Source organism: Homo sapiens, chromosome 10 (genome assembly GCF_000001405.40).
Source record: "Homo sapiens chromosome 10, GRCh38.p14 Primary Assembly".
NCBI lineage: Eukaryota > Metazoa > Chordata > Mammalia > Primates > Hominidae > Homo > Homo sapiens.
Window position 1 is genome coordinate 25,654,652 of NC_000010.11, and position 23,244 is coordinate 25,677,895.

Below are 23,244 nucleotides of genomic sequence, written 5' to 3' on the forward strand. Positions count from 1 at the left end.
AATCTTGTGGCTAATATATTACTCCTATAAAGGCAGTCTGGTCCCCAGGCAAGATGGGAGTTGATTTTGGGAAAGGGCTGTTATCTTTGTTTCAAAGTTAAACTATAAACTAAGTTCCTTCCAAAGTTAGTTCAGCCTATGACCAGGAATGAACAAGGGCAGCTTGGAGTTTAGAAGCTAGATGGAATCAGGTTAGATTTCTCTCAGCGTCATAATTTTCTCACTGTTATAATTTTTACAAAGGTAGTTTCAATTGGTCTTATTATTGAGTTGTGAGAGTTCTTTATATATTATATATTATATATTATTTCTTTTTTTTTTTTTTTTGAGTCAGGGTCTTGCTCTCTCACCCAGGCTAGAGTACAGTGGTGCAATCATGGCTCACTGCAGCCTCAAACTCCGGAGCTCAAGGGTTCCTCCCACCTCAGCCTCCTGAAGTGTTAGAGTTACAGGCATGAACCATGGTGCTTGGACAATATATTCTTTGGTCTCTTTCATGTAACTGAATTTAAAATTTTGATGAAGTTCAGTTTCTCCATTTTTTGTAGTTTGTCCTTTGTGTGGCCTGAAAAGCTTTGCCTACCCCATAATTGTGAAGATCATTGTCTATAATTTCTTTTAGAAGTTTTATGGTTTCAGCTTTTAAACTTAGACCTATACTCCATTCTGAGTAAATTTTTGCATGTGACATGAGGAACTCATTGAGGTTCTTTTTATTTAATCAATGTCTATTCAATTATTTGGGCACTGTTTATTGGAAAGACCATCCTAACTGAATTACCTTGCTGCCTTTATAAACAATGAGTTGACCTGTGGTCTACAGGTCTATCTGTATGCAAATACTGCATTATCTTGATTACTGTTTGCATTAGTCAGTTCTAATTAGTCAGTTGGCTGCCAAAAGAAATACTTGAGACTGGCTATTTATAAAGAAAAGAGCTTTAATTGGCTCATGACTCTTCAGGCTGTACAGGAAGCATAGCGGCTTCTGCTACTGGAGAGGCCTCAAGAAACTGAAAATCATCATGGAAGGCCAAGGGGAAGCAGGCTCATCTTACACGGCCAGAGCAGGAGCAAGAAGGGAGGAGGGGAGGTGCCACACACTTTTAAACAATCAGATCTTGTGAGAACTCACTCACTATACAGTACCAAGTGGGGATGGTGCTAAACCATTCATGAGACCTTCTCCCCAAGATCCAGTCATCTCCCACTAGGCCCCATCTCCAACACTGGGGATTACAATTCAACATGAGATTTGGTGGGGACACATGTCCAAACCGTATCACTGTTACCATACAGGACATCTTGAAATCAGATGGTTATATCTTGAATTTTTATTCTTTTTTTAACTCAAAATTATTTTGACTATTCTATGTTCTATGTTCTTAGCATTTCTGTATAAATTTTAGGGTCAATTTGCCAATTTCTACATCAGAAGACCGTTGGGATTTTGATTAGCATATCGTTCAACCTATAGACCAATTTGAGTAGAATTGACATCTTAACATATTGAGTTTCTTGTTCCATGAACATAGTATATATCTACACTTGTTTATGTTATCTTTAATTTCTTTCAACATGTTTTGAAGTTTTTAAAGCACAGATCTTGCAAATATTTTATTCTTAAATAGCTCATATTTTTAGATAATATGCTAAATAGTGTAGTTGATCACATTTTATTTTCCAATTATTATTACCAGTATATAGAAGCACAACATAGTTCTTATATTAAATTGAACCCTATGACTTTGCCAAGGTCATTCGTTCTAGTAGATTTTTGAAGTTTTCTTATGATTTTCTATATAAATGATCATGATGTATACAAAGATATACATTTTTATTTCTTTCTACAACTGTATGCATTTTATTAATTTTTAAATTTTAAACATTTAATTTTTGTGGATACATAGTAGGTGTACATATTTCTGGACTATATGGGATATGTTGATACAGGCAAACAGTGTGTAATAATCACATCAAGGCAAATGGGGTAACCATCACCTCAAGCATTTATCCTTTGTGTTACAAACAATCCAATTATACTCTTTTAGATATTTAAAATGTACAATTAAACTATTTTGACTATAGTCACTCTTTTGTGCTGCAAATACAAGATCTTATTCATTGTTTCTCACTATTTCTTTGTATCCATTATTCATTCCCACGTCCCCCTCCCAATCCCCCAACTACTCTTCCCAGCCTCAGGCAACCATCCTTTTACTCTATCTCCATGAGTTTGATTGTTTTAATTTTTAACACCGACAAAGAAGTGAGAACATGCAAAGTTTGTCTTTCTGTGCCTGGCTTATTTTACTTAACATAATGACCTCCAGTTTTATCTACGTTGTTGCAAATGACTGGCTCTCATTCTTTTCTATGGCTGAATAGTACTATATTGTATGTGTGTACCACATTTTCTTTATCCATCCTTCTGTTGATGAACATTTAGGTTGCTTCCAAATCTTGGCTATTGTGGATAGTGCTGCAATAACCATGGGAGTGCAGATATCTCTTGTATATACTGATTTTCTTTCTTTTGGATATATATCTAGCAGTGAGATTGCTGGATCATATGCTGGTAGCTCTATTTATAGTTTTGTGAGGAACCACCAAACAGTTCTCCAGAGTGGTTGTTCTAATTTACATTACCGCAAACACTGTACTGGGGTTTCCGTTTCTCCACAATTTTGTCAGCATTTGTTATTGTCCATCATTTGGATAAAAGTCATTTTAACTGGAGTGAGATAATATCTTATTGTAGTTTTGATTTGCATTTCTCTGATTCTTAATGATATTGAGCACCTAGTCATATACTTGTTTGCTATTTGTATATCTTCTTTGGAGAAATGTCTATTCAAATCTTTCGCCAAGTTTTTAATTGGATTATTAGATTTTTTTTCCTATAGAATCGTTTGAGCTCCTTATATGTTCTGCTTATTAATCCCTTGTCAGGTGGGTAGTTTGCAAATATTTTCTCCCATTCTGTGTGTTATCTCTTCATTTTGTCTATTGTTTCCCTGCTGTGCAGAAGCTTTTTAAATTGATGTGATCCCATTTGTCCATTTTTGCTTTAGTTGCCTGTGCTTGTGGGGTATTACTCTAGAAATCTTTGCCCACTCCAATGTAACGCAGAATTTTCCCAATGTTGTCTTGTAGTCATTTCATAGTTTTAGGCCTTAGATTTAAGTCTTAAATCCATTTTGATTTCATTTTTGTATATGGTGAGAGATAGGGATCTAGTTTCATTCTTCTGCATATGGATATTCAATTTTTCCAGTTCCATTGATTGAAGAGACTGTTTTTCCCCCATGTATATTTTTGGCACCTTTACTGTCAATAAGTTCACTGTAGAAGTCTGGATTTGTTTCTGAGTCCTCCATTCTGTTCCACTGGCCTCTATATCTGTTTTTTTGTGAGTGCCATGCTGTTTTGGATACTATAGCTCCACAGTATCATATGAATCAGGTAATGTAATTCCTCAGTTTTGTTCTTTTTGCGCAGGACAGCTTTGGCTATTCTGGGTCTTTTGTGGTTTTATATAGATTTGAAGATTGATTTTTCCATTTCTGTGAGAAAGTCATTGATATTTTGATACGGATTGCAATGAATCTGTAGATTGCTTTGGGTAGTATGGATATTTTAACAATTTTGATTCTTCCAATCCATGAACATGGAATATCTTTCCATTTTGTGTGTGTGTGTCCTCTTCAATTTTTTGCATCAATTTTTTGCAGTTTTCATTGTAGAGATCTTTCACTTCTTTTGTTAGTTAATTCCAGGGTATTTTATTTGTAGCTATTGTAAATGGGACTATTTTCTTGATTTTTTTTCAGATTATTTGCTGTTGGTATATAGAAATGCTACTGTTTGTTGTATGTTGACTTTATATCCTATAATACTGAATTTGTTTATCAGTTCTAATACTTTTTGGTGGAGTCTTTAGGTTTTTCCAAATGTAAGATCATATCTTCTGCAAACAAGGAAAGAAAGATCCTTTGAATTTCTGTGGTATTGGTTTAGTGTCTCTGGTTGTAATGTCTTTTTCATTTTTGATTTTATTTATTTGGGTCTTCACTCTTTTTTTCTTAGTTTGGCTAAAGCTTTTTCAATTTTGTTTATCTTTTCAAAAAAACAAACTTTTTGTTTTATTGATATTTTTATTGTATTTTTCATATCAATTTCATTTGTTTCTGTTCTAATCTTTATTATTTCTGCTCTTCTACCAATTTTGACTTTGGTTTGCTGTTGCTTTTCTAGTTCTTTAAGATGCATCGTTAGGTTGTTTATTTGAAGTTTTTCTTATTTTTTCGCATAAGCACTGATAGCTACAAACTTCCCTCTTAGTACTGCTTTCACTGCATACGTAGGTTTTAGTATGTTGTGTTTCGGTTATCCTTTGTTTCAAGAAATTTTTCAGTTTATTTCTTAATCTCTTCATTGACCCAGTGATCATTCAGGAACATATTGTGTAATTCCCATGTGCTTGTATAGATTCCAAAATTCCTCTTATTAATTTATAGTTTTATTCCATTGTGATCAGAGAAGATGCTTGATATTATTTCAATTTTTTTAATGTGTTAAGACTTGTTTTGTGACCTAACATATGGTCTATCCTTGAAAATGATCCATGTGCTGGAAAGTATGCTTCTGCAGTTGTTGGATTAAGTGTTCTGTAAATAATCTTCTAGGTCCGTTTTGTTTATAGTGCAGATTAAGTCTGATATTTCGTTTTTGATTTTCTGTCTGGATGATCTGTCTAATGTGAAAGTGGGGTGCTGACTTTACTAGCTATTATTGTACTGGGGTCTATCTCTTTCTTTAATAATAATTGCTTTATATATCTGAGTGCTACAGTGTTGGGTGAATATATATTTAAAATTGTTATATTCCCTTGCTGAATTGACATTTTTATCATTATATAATGACCTTCTTTGTCTCTTCTTATCATATTAGTCTTTAAACCTATTTTGTCTATTTTATCTGATACATGTATAGCTACTCCTGCTCTTTTTTGGTTTCCAATGGCATGAAATATATTTTTCCTGTAAGCAACACACCATTGTCTTATATTTTAAATCCATTCAGCCACTTTATGTCTTTTGATTGGAGAGATTTGTCTGTTTACATTCCGTTTTATTATTGACAAGTAAGGATTTACTCCTGCCATTTTATTATTTGTTTTCTGTTGTTTTGTGGCCTTTTTTTCCTTCTTTTCTTTCTTCCTGTATTCCTTTAAATATAGCTGTTTTTCTCTGCTGATATGTATTAATTTCCTCTTTAAGGCCAATAATTCTTAGGTTTGCCCCTTTTAGGCTATTTTCTAGATCTTGTAGGCATGCTTCATTCTTTCATATTTTTTGTCTCCTCTGTGTATTTTTAAATAGCCTGTCTTCAAGTTTACTAATTATTTCTTCTGCCTGATCAGTTCTGCTGTTAAGACTGATGCATTCTTCAGTATGTGAATTGCATTTTCAACTCCAGAATTTCTGCTTCATTTTTTAAAATTATTTCAATGTCTATATTAACTTTAATAGAATTCTGAATTCCTTCTCTGTTATCTTGAATTTCCTTGAGTTTCTTCAAAACCGCTATTTTGAATTCTCTGTCTGAAAGGTCACATATCTCTGTCTCTCTGGCATTGGTCCCTGGTGCCTTATTTAGTTCATTTGGTAAGGTCATGTTTCCCTGGATAGTCTTAATGTTTGTGGATGTTCCTCTATGTCTGGGCATTGAAAAGTTAAGTATTTATTGTAGTCTTCACAGTCTGGGCTTGTTTGTGCCTGTCCTTCTTGGGAAGGCTTTCCAGGTATTTGAAGGGACTTGAGTGTTGTGATCCAAGTTTTTGGTCACTGAAGCTGTATGTGCATTAGGGAGCACTCCAAGCTCAGTAATGCTGTGATTCTTACAGACTCCTAGAGGTACGGACTTGGTAATTTTGGATAAGATCCAGAAAAATTATCTGGATTGCCAGGCAAAGTCTCTTGTATTCTTCTCTTACTTTCTCCCAAACAAACTCTCTCTCTCTCTCTCTCTCTGGTGAGCTGCTCTCTGGTGAGCTGGGGGCGAGGTAACACAAGCACCCTTGTGGCTACCACCACTGAGACTGTGCTGGGTCAGACCTAAAACTAGCAGAGCACTGGGTCTTTCCCAAAGCCTGCCGTCACCACTACTTGGTGGTGAAGCCAGGCAGTCTTGTGTCCTTCCCTTCAGGAAGTTCCCCCCAGGCCTCAGGCAGGTCCAGAGATGCCATCCAGGAGCCACTGAAACTTCAGAAATGTACTTGGTGCTCTATTTTACTGTGACTAGGCTGGCACCAAAATCACAGGATAAAGTCCTTCTCACTCTTCCCTCCCCTTTCCCCAGACAGAGGCATCTCTCCCCATGTCCACCACCACAAGTTCATGGGGATTTCTGCCAGGGTACCACTAATGTTCACTTAAGGTCCGAGGGCTCTTCAGTCAGCTTGTGGTGAATGCTGCCAGGCCTGAGACTCACCTTTCAGGGAAGTGGGCTCTCTTCTGGCCCAGAGTAGGTCCACAAATGCCATCCAAGAGTCAAGGCCTGGAATTGGGAACCCGAAGAGTCTACTTGGTGTTCTTTTTCACTGTGTCCAAGCTGGTACCTAAGCTGCAAGGCAAAGTCCCCTTTATTCTTCCCTCTGCTTTTTCTCAAGCAGAAGGAGTCTCTCTTCATAACCACCACAACTGTGAATATGCTAAGTCACACCTGAAATCAGCACATCTCAGAGTCTCACTCAAGGCCCATGGCATGTACTACCTGGTTACCACTGCTGATTTTTCAGGGCCCAAGGGCTCTTTAGTCAGCAGAGGATGAATCCTTCCAGAACCGGATCCTTCCCTTCAAGGCAGCAGTCTATCTTCTGGCTGAGTGTGTGTCTAGAGATATTGTCCAGGAGGTAGGACCTGGGTGGGAGGCTTTACGACTCTGTCCAGTGACCTATCCTACTGTGGCTGAGCTGTTATCTAAGATGCAAGACAAAGTCTTCTTTACTCTTCCTTGTCCTCTCTTCAAGTGGAAGGAAGGGATCTCTTTTGGAGCTGTCAGCTGTGCTGCTTGGGGTTGGAGGATGGGCAGTGTAAACACTCCCTGGCCGCCCTGGCTGGTGTCTTGCTAAATCACGTGCCCCCCACGTCCACTGGCTACAAGCCCAGCTCAGCACTAAGACTTGCCTAGGATTTGCAGTCCTTGTGGCCTAGCCTGCCTTTCAAGTTTATTTAGAACCCCAGAGCACTTAAACCCAGGGTGGCAAGGCTTGTGGTATTTCAAGTTACAACTGCTGGAATGGGCAATTCCCCTCTGGCTACAGCTGGTCTAAATTTTCCTTCCATGTTAATTGGCTGAGTTCTGCCTGGTGTTGGCAGCACTAAGTTCTAATGCCAACTCCCACAGTCACTACACTCTCCTTCCCAAAGCACAGAGTTTTGCCTCTATGCCATGTGGCTGCTGCCAGGAGATGAGGGAGGGTTGGTGTTGGCAATACAAGACTGTCTTTCCTACCCTGTTTAGTGCCTCTTTCAGTAATATGAAGTTAAAATCAGGTACTGTGATTGCTTGCCTGATTTTTGGTTCTTATGAGAGTGTTTTTTTGTGTAGATTGTTGTTAAATTTGGTGTTTCTCCAGGGAGGACAATCAGTGAAGGTTTCTATTTAGCATCTTGCTCTACTTCCTCTCACATTTTATTTAGTTTGATCCTATTGCATTGACTATGATTTTTGTAAAGTGTTGAAATGGTGACAATGGTATCTTTGTTTTTCTTCCTCATCTTGGTTTTTCACCATTAAGTATGATAATGACTATGAGATTTTATCATTATCCTTTATCATAGTGTGAAAGTCACCTTCTCTTCTTAGTTTTCTGAAAGTTCTTAGAGAATTAGTGTTAAATTTTGTCAGATAATTTTCTGCATATATGAAGATAATTGTGTGTAATTTTTTCTCCTTTGTTTTGTTAATATGGTAATTACATTGGTTTCCAAGCTCTAAATTGACCTCTCATTCCTGGAATAAAACCCACTTGGTTATAACATGTTATTTTTCTATATACTACTGGATTCAATTTGCTAAATATTTTGTTAAGAAATTTTACATGTATGTTAATGAGGGATATTGGTCTGTAATTTCGTTTTCTTGCACAATGTTTGCCTATTTTTGGAAATGTCGACCTGTGAATCAAGCTGGGATAATTCTTTTTTTCTATTTTACAAAACGTCTTGTAAAATATTGGTATTATTATTTTCTTAAATATTTGATAGAATATACCAATGATCCCAACCGGGTCTGACATTTTCTTTGTGGGAACATTTTCAATTCAAATTTAATTTCTTTAATATGTAAGGGCTATTAAGTTTTTCTATTTCTTTTTATGTAAATTTTGATAATTTTTAAAGGAATTTTTTATTTAATTGAAGATGTCAAACTTATTGGCATAAAATCATTAATAATTAATGTAACATAAAGAAGATCTGTAGTGATGTCTTCTCTGTCATTTATTATATTGCTAATTCATATAATTTCACTTTTTAATTTTCTGGCTAGAAATGTATTTATTAATATTTTATAGATTTTTCTTTTTCTTTCATTTATTTTATCTATTCATGTTTTGTTTCATTGATTTTTCTGTTCTTATTTTTATTTTTTCTTTCCTTGTATATACTTGGGGTTTACTTCACTCTTTTATTCTATATTCCTGAGATATGAGGTTAAATCATGAGACTGCTCTTTTTTTCTAACTTAGCATTTAAAAGTTACAAATTTCCTTCTATATACTGCTTTACCTGCATCCTACAAATTTTGATGCATTAAGTTTTCTATCATTTTTCAGTTTAAAATTTATTTTCTGATTTTCCCTTGTTATTTCTTCTTTGACCCATGGACTATTTAAATGTGTGTTGTTTAATATCAAAATTTAAGAGACCTGAAAGATATGTTTCCGCTTCCAATTTATAGTTAATTGCATTGTGATCAAAGAATATTTTCTATAAGACTTCAATCCTTTTATATACGCCAAGATTTATTGTACAGCTCAACAGAGAGTTTATCCTAGCCAATATTCTATATTAACTTTGAGAAATATACATTCTACTTTTGTTAGGCTAAGTTGATTGACAATTTTGCTCTAGACTTTTAAGCATTTATGGATTTTCTTTATCTGCCTGCTCAATGAATAACATAAAGAGATTTGTTGCAATTTACAATTACCTATGTGTATTTATTTCTCCTTTTAGTTCTGTTTAGTTATTTCCATGTATTTTGAAGCTCTATTTTTAGGCAAGATGCATACACATTTAGAAATATGATATTTTATTCAAGCATGAACTCCTTTATCAGTATAAAATGTCCCTTTTATGTCTGGCAGTATTTATTGACCCAAAGTCTACTTTGACTGATATTAATATAGCCACCCCCACTTTCTTATCACTGATATTTGCATGGTAAATATTTTCCATCCTTTTACTTTTAGCCTGTCTGTGTCTTTTTAATTTAAAGTATATTTTTTGTAGATAGTTTATAGTTGGGTCTTGCCTTTTTATCCAGACTGACAATCTGTGCTTTTAACAGAAATATTTAGACCATGTATATTTAGTGAGGATCTCAATATGGTGAATGTATCATCTTACCATTTGTTTTCTATTTGTAGCATCTGTATTTCCTTCCTTCTTTTCTCATGTGCTGCCTTCTTTTGGATTAATTATATTTCTTTAGTATTCCATTTTATCCATGTATTAGTTTATTAGGTTTACTCTTTTGATATTTTTTAAATGGCTGCCTTAGGGTTTCTCATATGCATCTTTAACTTATTAGAGTCTACTTTTAATGATAATTCAATTCTCCCTGGCCATTGTGTTGTTATACATATTATTTCTACATATGTTATAAACCTAATAATAAATACAGTGTTAATATTTTTGCCTTAAATATTTGATATTTTTGCCTTAAATATTTGATATTTTTAAAAATATAAAAAGAAATAAAAATGGACTACATATTTATTATTTCTTACACTCTTCTCTTTTCAATATTTTCATCTGGTATCATTTTCCTCTGCCTGAAGAAACTCTTAGAGGGCGGATATTCTGCTAATGAATTATCTGAGCATCTTATTTATCTGAAAAATCCTTTATTTTGTCTTCAGTTTTGAAGGATATTTTTGCTGCATATGAAATTCTTGGTTGATGATTTTTGTTTGTTTTAACATTTAAAGATATGTTCCACCGTCTTCTAGCTTGCTTGGAAATATCCACAGTCTTTTTATCTTTGTTCCCCTGTACACAATGCCTGTACCCCAGCAACTGGCTGCTCTTCAGGTTTCTCTTACTCAGTGTTTTTAAACAATTTGTGGCATGCCATGGTTTAGTTTTCTTTGGGTGTTTATTCTGCTGGGAATTTGTTGAGCTTCTTAAATCTGTGGCTTTGTAGTTTTAATCAAATTTATACTTTTTTGGCTGTAACTTAAAAAGATGTTTTCTGTACACCTCGATTTTATGGGGCTGAAGTTGCACGTGTTTCACTGCTTGATACTATCCCACGAGTAACTGAGATAGTTGTTATGTTTCTTTTTATCCTCTCTTATTTCCATTTGAATAGTTTCTAAAGCTATGTATTCAACTTCACTTTTTTATTATTTATGTTATTATAATTATTATTATTATTTTGAGATGGAGTCTCACTCGGTTGCCAGGCTGGAGTGCAATGGCACAATCTCGGCTCACTACAACCTCCGCCTGCTGGGTTCGAACGATTCCCCTGCCTCAGTCTCCCAAGTAGCTGGGACTACAGGTGCATGCCACCACACCCAGCTAATTTTTTTTTTTTTTTTTTTTGTATTTTAGTAGAGACGGAGTTTCACCATATTGACTGGGATGACCTCAATCTCCTGACCTTGTTATCTGCCCGCCTTGGCTTCCCAAAGTGCTGGGATTATAGGCGTGAGCCACCATGCCCAGCCTGCTTTTTTTTAGTGCTCAATCTGCTGTTTATTGCATCCAGTAAAAATTTCATTTCAAATATTGTATTTTTCAGCTCTATAAATTTTATTAATTTCTTTAAAAATATATTTCCCATATATTATCTCATGATGTTTATATTTTCCTTTAAGTCTTTTAACGTATTTACAACAAATATTTTAAAGTCCTCATCTGTTAATATCATCATTGTCTTTTCTGGATCATTGACATATTTTCTGCAAATTATGAATACATTTTATTGCTCCTTCATGTGCCTAGTAAACTTTTATTGGAAGCTAAGCTTAGTGATTAGTATGATGTTGAGTGCTAGATTTTGTTGTCTTTAAAGAATGTTGGACTTTTTCTCAAATGCACTAAAATTACTTGGGGATATGCTGAATTATTTTGAGGCTTGTTTTAAAACTATATTGGGGCAGATATAATGTTGCCTTTACCCTAGGCATCATTTCACTCTACTACTAAACCATGACCTCTCAAGGGACTCTACCGAATGTTCCAGTTGTTCACTTCACTCTGACTGGTTGAAAGCTGAATATCTCCTCCCACCCTGTATGAACTGTGGGAATTATTTAGCATACATGTCCCATCCCATTCTTTTCTCAGTCTCATGGAATGTTACCCTTTGTATGTGTCATTTAGTACTCCACAATACTAAGGTGACCTCCATACATATATATGCAACTCTTTCTCTGCATACCCTTTTCCTGTCTGGTTCTTCACACTGCAAATTCCAGTCACCTCAACCCCTGCAGACTCTGATCCCTATTTTCTCAACTCGAAAAGACCGTGTTCTCCTTAAGTTTCTCCTGCCTGGATGGCTGCCCAGAAAAAGCCTCCAGGCAGAAAGCCAGGGTGACGGTCAGGTTCATTTTCTTGTTTCTCTTCTTTCAAGGATATCCATGTTATACTGCTTTTGGTCCAATGTCTGAAAACAGCTTTCTAGTTGTTTATGGTAGGATATTAAATCTGGTACCAGTTACTCCATCATGACTTGAGTGAAACATTTGTTTTCAAAAAGATAAAATGTATAGAGTAACATAATTGAGGATATGGCAAGTATAGTCAAATAGTAATAGCTTGTGCTTTTTTCAACTGTACAATAGAACTAAAGTAGGTTTTATCCTACAATTTTATATAATCCCCAATAGAACTCCATTACTTCCACTAAAAATTCCCTGTAATGTACAGGGAACCAGGTCTAGACACTTTAATAAGAGTTAAAGATACGTAGTTCTATTGTATATTTGCATTTAGAGTATCTTTTTATACTTTGTTAAGCAATTTTATTTTGTCATAAAGCGAGACTCCCACCAAGGACAGATTTTATTGTTCTACTTTATAATGGACAGGGGAATGTCTAATTCCTACTCGACATATAAAGAAGAGTTTTTCTTCTCTGTCTTTGCCTTTTTGCTTTCCATTGGATTAATCTTCAATGAATATTTCAAGGTCCAACTCAAGTCTCTTTCTCTAGGGAGTCTTACCCAACTATTTTATCCCTGTTTTAGTTATGATAAAGCTAAACAGTTGCCAAAAAAAAAAAAAAGAGAGAGAGAGAGAGAGACCATAAAACACAGCACCTTGAAGTATATGGAAATGTCTCTCTCAGCTATCAGTTTGAAGGTTAGCAGTGCATGGTAAGCAAAGCAGCTCTTTCCAAGGCTCCTCTCAAGCCATCATGTCATAACCCCTTAGATACAATCCCTACATGGTCAAAGGTGGATTGCTGCCACTTTTTTTGGTAGTAGTTATGTAGTTTCTTTTTCTCTTTTTTTTATAATTTTAAGTTTCACGGTACAAATGCAGGATGTGCAGGTTTGTTACATAGGTAAACGTGTGCCATGGTGGTTTGCTGCACCTATCAACCTATCACCTAGGTATTAAGCCCAGCAAGCATTTGCTATTTTTCCTAATGCTCTCCTTCACCCTCATCCCTGACAGGCCCTACCGTGTGTTGTTCCCCTCCCTGCGTCCATGTGTTCTCATGATTCACTTCCCACGTAGAAGTGAGAACATGTGGTGTTTGGTTTTCTGTTCTTGTGTTAGTTAGCTGAGGGTAATGGCTTCCAGCTCCATCCATGTCCCTGCAAAGGACATGATTTCATTCCTTTTTTATGACTGCATAGAATTCCATGGTATATATGTACCACATTTTCTTTACCCAGACTATCATTAATGGGCATTTGGGTTGATTCCATGTCTTTGCTATTGTGAATAGTGCTGCAATGAACAAACCTGTGCATGTATCTTTACAATAGAGTGATTTATATTCCTTTGTGTATACACACAGTAATGGGATTGCTGGGTCAAATGGTATTTCTGGTCCTAAATCTTTGGGGAATGGCCACACTGTCTTCCACAATGATTGAACTAATTTATACTCCCACCAGCAGTATAAAAGCATTCCGATTTCTCTGCAACCTCGTCAGCATCTGTTGTTTCTTGACTTTTTAATAACTGCCATTCTGACTCGTGTGAGATGGTATCTCATTGTGATTTTGATTTGCATTTCTCTAATCAGTGAAGTTGAGCCTTTTTTCATATGTTTGTTGTTCTGCCACTTTTTCTTTCTCTTCCAGAACAGCCAGTTGTAAGGGGTAAAATAAATTGGAGAAGAGAACATCCACATGGATTAAGTCCCAAGCTCACCCTTTGTTAGTGAGAATGTAGTCACGTGGCCATACCTACTACAAGGTAGGCTAGAACATATAATCTCATTGGATAGCCATGATATTGCTACATTAACATATAAGAAGGGGAGATGAATTTTGGTGGACAGCTAGCATTCTCCTCATTTAATTCTCCCTTCTCAGTACTCAACTTTGTGTTCAGATCTAGCACAGCAGTCAGCTCTGCTAATCAGACAAGTAAGAGGGGATGCTCAAAGTGGGAGGATCCATTTAATACATTTTTGTCCAAATAGACACATTATTTAAATAAAAATAAATAAGTTATTGTTATTTGTCTTTGTTTAAATAAGTTATTACGTGTACAAATAGTCAGTAAATCTGATTCTTGCTTGGTGGTTTTCATTATTCCTTTATGTAAAGTTGCATGTTCAATAGGTCTATTAATGAGACTTTCCCCAGTCCAATTTCTGTTTAGTATTCATTTCAGATACGCAATAGAGGAATGCAATGTAATTCATTCATTATTACTATAAGTTTGGGGCACAGACAGACCAGATTTAAGTCTTGGTTTTGTCATTTTCAAGCTTTGTGGCTTTGGTGAATTACTTAACTTCTCTGAGCCTCAGGTTTTTGTAACCATACAGTATCTATCTTTCAGAGTATGGTAAAGATTAAATTAGATAACATTTGTAAATACCTAGTAGAGTGTCTGAGCACAGAGTTGGAGCCCAAGAAATTGGGGAAATGCACACACACACACACACACACACTCATCTTGCTCTCTCGTTCTCTCACTGTTCTCGTTTCTTTGGAATATTGAGTAGTTCACAATGTACACCTACAAGGTACTAGTACACTTTTTATTCTGTTCTGTCACAAAAGTGTAGCTTTTCTTCTGAAGTAGATTTTCCCGAAGTACACATCCAAGAATAATAATCATCAATTGAGCTTAGAAAAAAATTTCAGATAGCATGAAAGCCAGAAGAGAGATTACTTTTTCCTTTTTTTTTTTTTTTTTTTTTTTGAGAAATGAAAGAATCTTTTTGGGGATCCAAAAACTAATATTATGTAGTGGTAATAGTGCCTGTCTGAGAATCTTCATATGACTCTGAATTCCACAACTAGCTGTGTGGCCTTGAAAAAAATCACTTAGTTTGCCTGGGCCCTAAAAAGAATAGTAATAATATCCATTTATAAGAATGACTGCACCTAGTAATGTAATTTTATTTTTTTAATTTAGTTGTACAGTCAAGGCTAAAAGAACTTAATTGACTTGTCTAAGGTTTCTGAGCAATGAACCAGTGGTTTTCATCCAAATCTACTTTATCCAAAAGTTTTTCTCTTAACCAAATAGGGATATCAGACAAGCTTACCTTCAGGTTCAATAAAGCTCTAAAACTCAATGACTATAAATTTGGGTCAAGGAAAGATCAAAACAGAACACAGTTGCCCAGGAAACACCACAGTGAAAGCTATATATTTTTGACTAAGGCAAATACATTTGGAGCTCAGCTGTGCCCGTTAGCATGTTAAGATATACAAGGTCTAAAACAACATACTCAGAAGGCTATTCTCTTTTTCTTATACGCATGGGTCAACACAGTTGAAAGCAAGAAAGAATTCCATGAAAGGTCCATGATTTTGAAATTCCCCTAATCAAACTTACCCACTAATTACTTCCCCACCTTCTAGTGTGGAACCTCTTACATTTATTCTTTATTGCATCCAAGTTTTTGTTTGTCCATCATCTGTCTTCTCTTATTAGACTACTTCCTCCTTGGAGAAAGGTCTATGCTTTAAAAAATTTTCTCCAAGCCCAGAGCTGCTGATTTTCCTTGAAGGCTTGTGTTTTTAAGCATTCTTCCACACTATGGTCCACTTCAGACATCCTTGCTGTCCATTGACTACCTGGCATTGTCACTGATTTCCAAGTTGCAGCCTTTAGCTTTTCTTTAATGTGCAATTAATTTAGTAAATATTTCACTATAGAAATTTCCAGTAGAACTCAACTGTGGTACCTACACTCGAAATCCACTTGTTTCACCAATAACAAACTGAATATCAGTTTGTGCTCAGCTAAGACAGCCTACTATGCTATCATTTATTTCACCTTCATATTATTATGTACCAGAAAGTGTTCTATGTGCTTTGTACTATTTATCTTATTTAATCCTCATAAAAACTATATATTGTGAACATTATCTGATCTTTGGGGTACTTTGCCTCCTTCATCTCCATTATGGATCTACTTGCCGTTTTTAAATACCTATTTCTAAGCTACCAAGGTTTAAAACTTCATTTGGCCTGTAAACATCTGATTTATTAGAGTATTGTAAACTGTATTGGTATAAACCTCAATTAGTTTAAATCTCACAGTAGCAGCCTAAAGGAAAACAACATAAAAAAGGCAACAAACTGCAGTTGTCATCCAGTCAAAATCCAAAAAAGAATAAAATAAAATAAAGAGGGTTTAACATGGGGCTCCAGCTCTAAAGCAATTCATTTGTTTATTTAATCATGCAATATATCTAATCCAGCCCTAGAGACATGACAACAGATGGGGCGTGTGTTGGGATGAATACCCAAGCGAGTATGTTCTGTTTGAGCGCTGTCATGCAGGAGTTAGTGGAGAGGATTTTAAAAATCTTAAAATTAATATGTCTCCCTCTCTTTACACCCCCCCCCAAACTTAGTATGTATCCTTTGTGACATTACCAATAGATAAACTCTAAGGAAAAGGGGCAGTTAGTGCACTATGAAAGCCATCATTTGGAGGGCATCCTCCCCAGAAAAACTTCAGTTCAAAGTTGAGTCTCAGGAGTCTCAGGAAGATGTACACCAAGGTCATGAAACATTATGCACAGACAGGGAACAGCTCTGCTATTGCTCGTAACACCAGGCTTGAAATTTGAGTTCAACCAAGGTTGAGCACTGCTGCAAATTCCCCTGGTGAAAAAATTGCACAGTGCCTTCTCATTTGTGAAATATTTTCACATCTTTTACCAAAGAATGGGAGCTCTTGCTCATGGTCATCACTAAACCCAAGATTAAAACAATGTAGCAGTCATTTAATGCTGAACAGTAAAAAAATACACATGTAAATAAAGTTAACAGGCAAAGAAATACTGCAATGAAGAACAGTGTAGCATTATAGGTGTCTAAATATGCACAGCTTGCAGGAAAATAATAAACAGAACAAATGCTAAGGGGAAGTAATCCATCTTCCTTAATTAAAAAAAATTACTGTCTCCATCTATCTACCTATCTACCTACCTACCTAATTTCACAAAAGATTTGAGGCAATATTACACAATATTCATAGTTATATACATTAAAAAAATCAGAGTTAGGGAAACTATCAACAGAGAGAAAGATAGGGTCAGGTTAATGATTGGGACAAGGACAGCCTCATGCCAATAATTCCAACACCTTGGGAGGCTGAAGTGGGAGGATAGCTTTAGCCCAGAGGTTCAAGACATCCTGGGTAACAAAGCAAGACTCTGTCTCTACAAAAAATAATTAAAAATTATCCAAGTGTGGTGGCACATGCCTGTAGTCCCAGCTACTAGGGAGGCTGAGGTAGGCGGATAGCTTGAGCCCAGGAGTTCAAGGCTGCAGTGAGCTATGTTCACAACGCTGTACTCCATTCTGGGTGACAAAGCAAGACCCTGTCTCTAAAAATAAGTAAATAAATAATCAATCAATACATATAAAGAAAGATTGGAACAGATCTCCAGATGTCTTAGTGCATCTGTAGAAAGGTTATGCCAGTTTATCAACAAAAGGAACATCTTTTCCTTACACTTAAGCTTGAAATAAATTTCTTACATGAAATTTAAAATAGAGCACTGAGTGACACAGTAGATGACATTCTTAACCATTGATTTCCACAAGCAGAGCAACAAAGTGTGGAGAGCTTTTTCCTTCTAGTATCCCTGAAAGTCAGCTGAGACCTGTTGCCAAACTACAAGTGTGTAGGATGGCAAAACAATGTCGTTTCACTCTGCAGGTCTCTTAGCTGCAGTTTTATCCAGGGGTAAATTCTAGTATTTCTGGCTGAATCATATTTTTCAATTTTACATAAATGTCAGATCTTTCTTTGGAGACTTTTGATGAAAATCTGAGCTGCTGACAGGCCAAGATTACTTTCCTTGGGAATGGAGGTGTGGGTGAGAAATGTGTGAAAGTATAGCCTTTAAAGGTGATGACATCTGATAATAGGACATTGTGTAAAAATGGAGGCACCTAACCAGGACTTTGAACAGAAAGGACCAGCATCCTATCTGTCTCCCAAGCCTTGCTCATAGAACATGAACAAATAGGCAGCTGGCCTCTGGTGAAAGGCCTGAAACAAGTTTGATGTGTTCTGCTGACATCTGAAAGTGAAAAGGCCTCTAATGGCCTAACTGCAAGTTCCTCTCCCTACTCTGCCCCGCTAAAGAAGGTCCTCCATCCAAACAACACTCCTTATAGAGAAGACCAGGACCAGGGATAAGTTCTTGCTTATCCCTGAGTAGCAGGTTTCCCTTCTCTGCCAGTTAATGGAGTTATTTGCAGGCTGATCACATCCTCATGCAAGAACGAAGGGCACCCCACCCTCTTACTACTACAAAGTCAGCCTCCCAAGACCCCTGGTTGTTCCTGCTGTTTCCAAGTGCAACCTCCATGTGGCCCTGAATAGTGATCAAGACATGGCCCTAAAGTGACACCCTCAAGGATACTGAAACAGCCTGGCCAATTTCTTTAGCCATCAAAAGGCATCCACACTACCGGGGTAATATCAAATGTCTGTACTCATTCACTTCTGTGATTCCAGCTGAAGAAAAGAGGCAGAAAATAAGAACCTTATTCCTCTCCTTGCAGTTACTGTTTTCCTCAGTCTTTGTTTTCTTCTCTTTCCCTCTATTTTTTTTTTTTTTTCAGAGACAGAATCTTGCTCTGTTGCCCAGGCTGGAGTGCAGTGGTACAGTCATAGCTCACTGTTGCAGGAAATCAGGGACCCCAAACAGAGGGACTGGCTGAAGCCATGGCAGAAGAACATGGATTGTAAAGATTTTATGGACATTTATTAGTTCCCCAAATTAATACTTTTATAATTTCTTATGCCTGTCTTTACTGCACTTTCTAAACATAAATTGTAAAGATTTCATGGACACTTATCACTTCCCCAATCAATACCCTTGTGATTTCCTATGCCTGTCTTTACTTTAATCTCTTAATCCTATCAGCTGAGGAAGATGTATGTTGCCTCAGGACCATGGGGTAATTGCGTTAACTGCACAAATTGTACAGCATGTGTGTTTGAACAAATATGAAATCTGGGCACCTTGAAAAAAGAACAGGATAACAGCAATGTTCAGGGAACAAGAGAGATAACCTTAAACTCTGACTGCCGGTGAGCCGGGCGGAACAGAGCCATATTTCTCTTCTTTCAAAAGCAAATGGGAGAAATATCACTGAATTCTTTTTCTCAGCTGGGAACATCCCTGGGAAAGACAATACGCACCTGGGGGTATAGGTCTATAAATGGCCCCCCTGGGTGTGGTCGTTTTTTATGGTCTGTAGACTGTTGGGGTGAAATAGACCCCAGTCTCCCATAGCGCTCCCAGGTTTATTAGGAAGGGGAAATTCCCGCCTAATAAATTTTGGTCAGACAGGTTGCTCTCAAAACCCTGTCTCTTGATAAGATGTTATCAATGACAATGGTGCCCGAAACTTCATTAGCAATTTTAATTTCGCCTCAGTCCTGTGGTCCTGTGGTCTCGACCTGCCTCCATTTGCCCTGTGATATTCTATTACCTTGTGAAGCACTTCATGTCTGTGACCCACACCCTATTCATATAGTCCCTCCCCTTTTGAAACTCCCTAATAAAAACTTGCTGGTTTTACAGCTTGTGGGGCATCACGGAACCTACCAACATGTGATGTCTCCCCCGGACGCCCAGCTTTAAAATTTCTCTCTTCTGTACTCTGTCCCTTTATTTCTCAAACTGGCCGATGCTTAGGGAAAATAGAAAAGAACCTACGTGACTATTGGGGCAGGTTCCCTGATAGCTCACTGTAGCCTCAAATTCCTGATCTCAAGGGATCCTCCCACCTCAGCCTCCCAAATACCTAGGACTATACTGTCACCATGCCCAGTTATTTATTTCCTCCAGTTTTTGTACTCCATCTCTGTGCTGTTCTAGGTAACCGATATTTTCCATGATTAAAAATTATATCTGGCCAGGTGCAGTGGCTCACGTCTGTAACCCCAGCACTTTGGGAGGCTGAGGCAGGTGGATCACTTGAGGTCAGGAGTTCAAGACCAGACTGGCCAACATGATGAAACCACATCTCTACAAAAAATACAAAAATTAGCCGAGTGTAGTGGTGTGCACCTGTAATCCCAGCACATTGGAAGGCCGAAGCAGGAGGATCACTTGAGGTCAGGAGTTCGAGACCAGCCTGGCCAACATGTGAAACCCCAACTCTACTAAAAATACAAAAATTAGCTGGGCGTGGTGGTGTGCACCTGTAATCCCAGCTACTTGGAAGGCTGAGACACAAGAATCGCTTGAACCCAGAAGGCAGAGGTTGCAGTGAGCTGAGATCACGCCACTGCACTCCAGCCTGGGTGACCGAGTGAGACTCTGTTTCAAAAATAAAAGTAAAAAAATAAATAAAAATTATATCTTCTGTTCAAATTGTATCCATTCTAGTGATAAACAACCCTTTTCTCTACCAGTGTTTCTCAATGAGTAGTGATCATTCCACCTGCACTGGGATCACCTGGAATCCTTGCTAAAATGCTGATTCCATTGAACAGAATTTCTGAAAGTGGGTCCTAAGGGTTTGTATTCTTAACATGCTTCGGTGCTGATGCTGTAGCACTTTAGAGCTACTAACCGAGATGTTTGGTTACATGGGAGCAGCTACATCAGTGACTGTATCTCACCCATGCACCCAGCCCTGACATACCTTCAGGTGAGACCCAAACAGAGAGCCTGGCTGAGTTGGGAGCCTTGGGACAACAGCTTTGTGCTTTAATTGCTGCCCCGGTTTTAATGGGGCACTTTGCCTTTATGCACTGCTAAGCGATTCTACTGCCTTGTACACTCCCACCTGACACATATAGCTGGAGAGACTAAAAATAGACCCCACCTGCACAGAACATCCCAAAACGGGGTTGCTTCCTTCCTTCTGTTTCTGCGATCCAGGGACATTGCTCGAGAAGCATTTGTTCTCAATTCGTCTTGCTAATAAATGACACGTGGGTTCAGACAGCAGTGTGACCTCTTTTATGTTAAAGAACTTATATGGGAAAAAACCCCAAAACTGCAATTATGATCATACCTATTGACATTATGTATATATTAACTAAATGAATATATCAAACACTGCATGTACTTTTGGCATATTTTGTTTTCTCTTTCATGGAACATAGGGACTAATCTGTATTCAGTTTAATAATTATATATTATTGTGGTCTTACAAATAACTTGACCCAGAAACAAGAAATCAAGAATGTTCTTTATATATATTCAATTTTATTTTATTTTATTTTCAATTTTTATTTATTTTTATTTTATTTTATTTATTTATTTTTGAGAGACAATCTCTCTCTGTCACCCAGGCTGGAGTGCAGTGGTGCAACCTCGTCTCACTGCAACCTCCACTTCCTGGGTTCAAGCTATTCTCCTGCCTTAGCCTCTTGAGTAGCTGGGATTACAGATGCACACCACCATGCTGGGCTAATTTTTATATTTTTGTAGTAATGGGGTCTCTCCATGTTGCCCAGGCTGGTCTCAAACTCTTGAACTCAAGCAATCCACCTGCCTTTGCGTCCCAAAGTTCTAGGATTACAGGTGTAAGCCACTGCACCTGGCCTATGTATCAGTTTTAAGGCGTTCAGAATACAGTGTAAATCAGTGGTTTTAAACCTAATGTGCACATAAGAATCATCTAGAGAACTCATTTATCTAAGAGTGTTTTGAACCCATTCTGCTAGTGTATTAGTTGGAGTTTTCTAAAAGAACAGAACCAACAGGACTTACCCACACATCTATTTATCTATGTGTGCATGCATGTATGTATATTAGGTTGGTACAAAAGTAATTGCAATTTTTGCCTTTACTTTTAAGGGCAAAAACTGTAATTCGGTTTAATAGAGAGAGAGAGATTTATGAGGAGGAATCAGCCTGCATGATTATGGAGCCCTAGAATCCCATGATCTGCCGTCTGCAAGCTGGAGATCCAGGAGAGTCAGTGGTGTAATTAAGTCCCAGTTCAAAGCGCCAGGGGAGCCACTGCTGCTAAGCCCAGTCTAAGGGCAGGAAAGGTGGAATGAGATGTCTCAGCTCAGATAGTGAGGCAGAAATAAAAGGGGGCAAGTTATTCCTCCCTCTGCCTTTTGTGCTCTTTGGGCCCTCAGTGGACTGGATGGCGCCCACCTGCCTTGGGCAGAGCCATCTGCTTTACTGAGTCCACTGATGCTACTGCTAATCTCATCTGGAGCACCCCCACAGACACACCCAGAAATAAGGCTTAATCTGGGCACTGCATGACCTGGTTAAGTTAATACGAAAATTAACTTCACAGCCAGTTCATAGCATGTAGCCTTGGACAAGTTACTTAACCTCTCTGTGCCTCCATTTCTCCACTTGTGAAACTGGCATAATAACAGTATATATCTCATAATGTTGATCTAAACATTAAATTAGTTAATACAAGGCTGGGCATGGTGGCCTACACCTGTAATTCCAACACTTTGGGAGGCCAAGGGGAGCAAATCACTTGAGCCCAGGACTTCAAGATCAGCCTGGGCAACATGGTGAAACCCCATCTCTACAACAACAACAAAAATACAAAAATTAGCCGGGTATGGTGGCATGCACCTTTAGTTCCAGCTACTCAGAAGGCTGGGGCCAGAGAATTACCTGAGCCCTGCAGGTTGAGGCTACAGTGAGCCCTGATGGCACCATTACACTCCAGCCTCGGCAACCCTGTCCCCAAAAAAGAAAAAAAATTAGTTAATACACATAAAGCTTTAGAAAAGTGTCTGTCAAACAATATATGATCGGTATGTATTATTATTAAATGACGATTACTCGTTGGATTGCTCATTAAAAGACTTGAAAAAAATGCATCCAGAGTAGATCCTGGAAATCTACATTTAAAATAATTATTGCTAATAATTCTGATGCCATTGGCTCATGGTATCACCATTTGAGAGCTGGTCATCTAATAGGACCATTCATTTGAGTTTAGGAAGAAATGTTGGTATTCTACTTCTATCAGCTTTCTTTATCAGAAAATAGAAAATTTATTTTACAGTATTTAAAATAGTAGCTGATGCTGGGGCCTTCATTAGTCTATGATTTAGATATCTTCTAGGGATTTCCAGGAATTTCCTATAAAGTAGGAAAGGGAATCTCACAAGTAGGAGCTGATGGTGGTCCCTGCCCCAGTGATCTTTCAGTGCACAGTGATGCATTGCAATTTGCATTCATGCTGAATGAAATGAATTTATGGATTATATTTATCTAATTATAGATCATTACAAAAGAAACAATTGACTTGAAAAGATTTTTGCTAAAAATGTATACATCCATGACAATGCTAACAATTTCAGCAAAAGTGAAGAAGAA

At 37.3% G+C, this 23,244-nt stretch overlaps 1 long non-coding RNA gene across 3 annotated transcripts in view; it reads left to right on the top strand.

Annotated features, from left to right (window-relative positions):
• Positions 1 to 23,244, top strand: part of LINC00836 (long intergenic non-protein coding RNA 836) — an 81,224-nt gene that overhangs the window by 2,940 nt on the left and 55,040 nt on the right. The window contains exon 3 of one of the 3 annotated variants that reach the window (NR_108069.1): positions 13,565 to 13,679. The exons of the other annotated variants lie outside the window; for them this stretch is intronic. This is a non-coding gene — a long non-coding RNA (long intergenic non-protein coding RNA 836). The remainder of the gene's footprint in view (positions 1 to 13,564; positions 13,680 to 23,244) is intronic. 3 annotated transcript variants of the gene reach the window in all.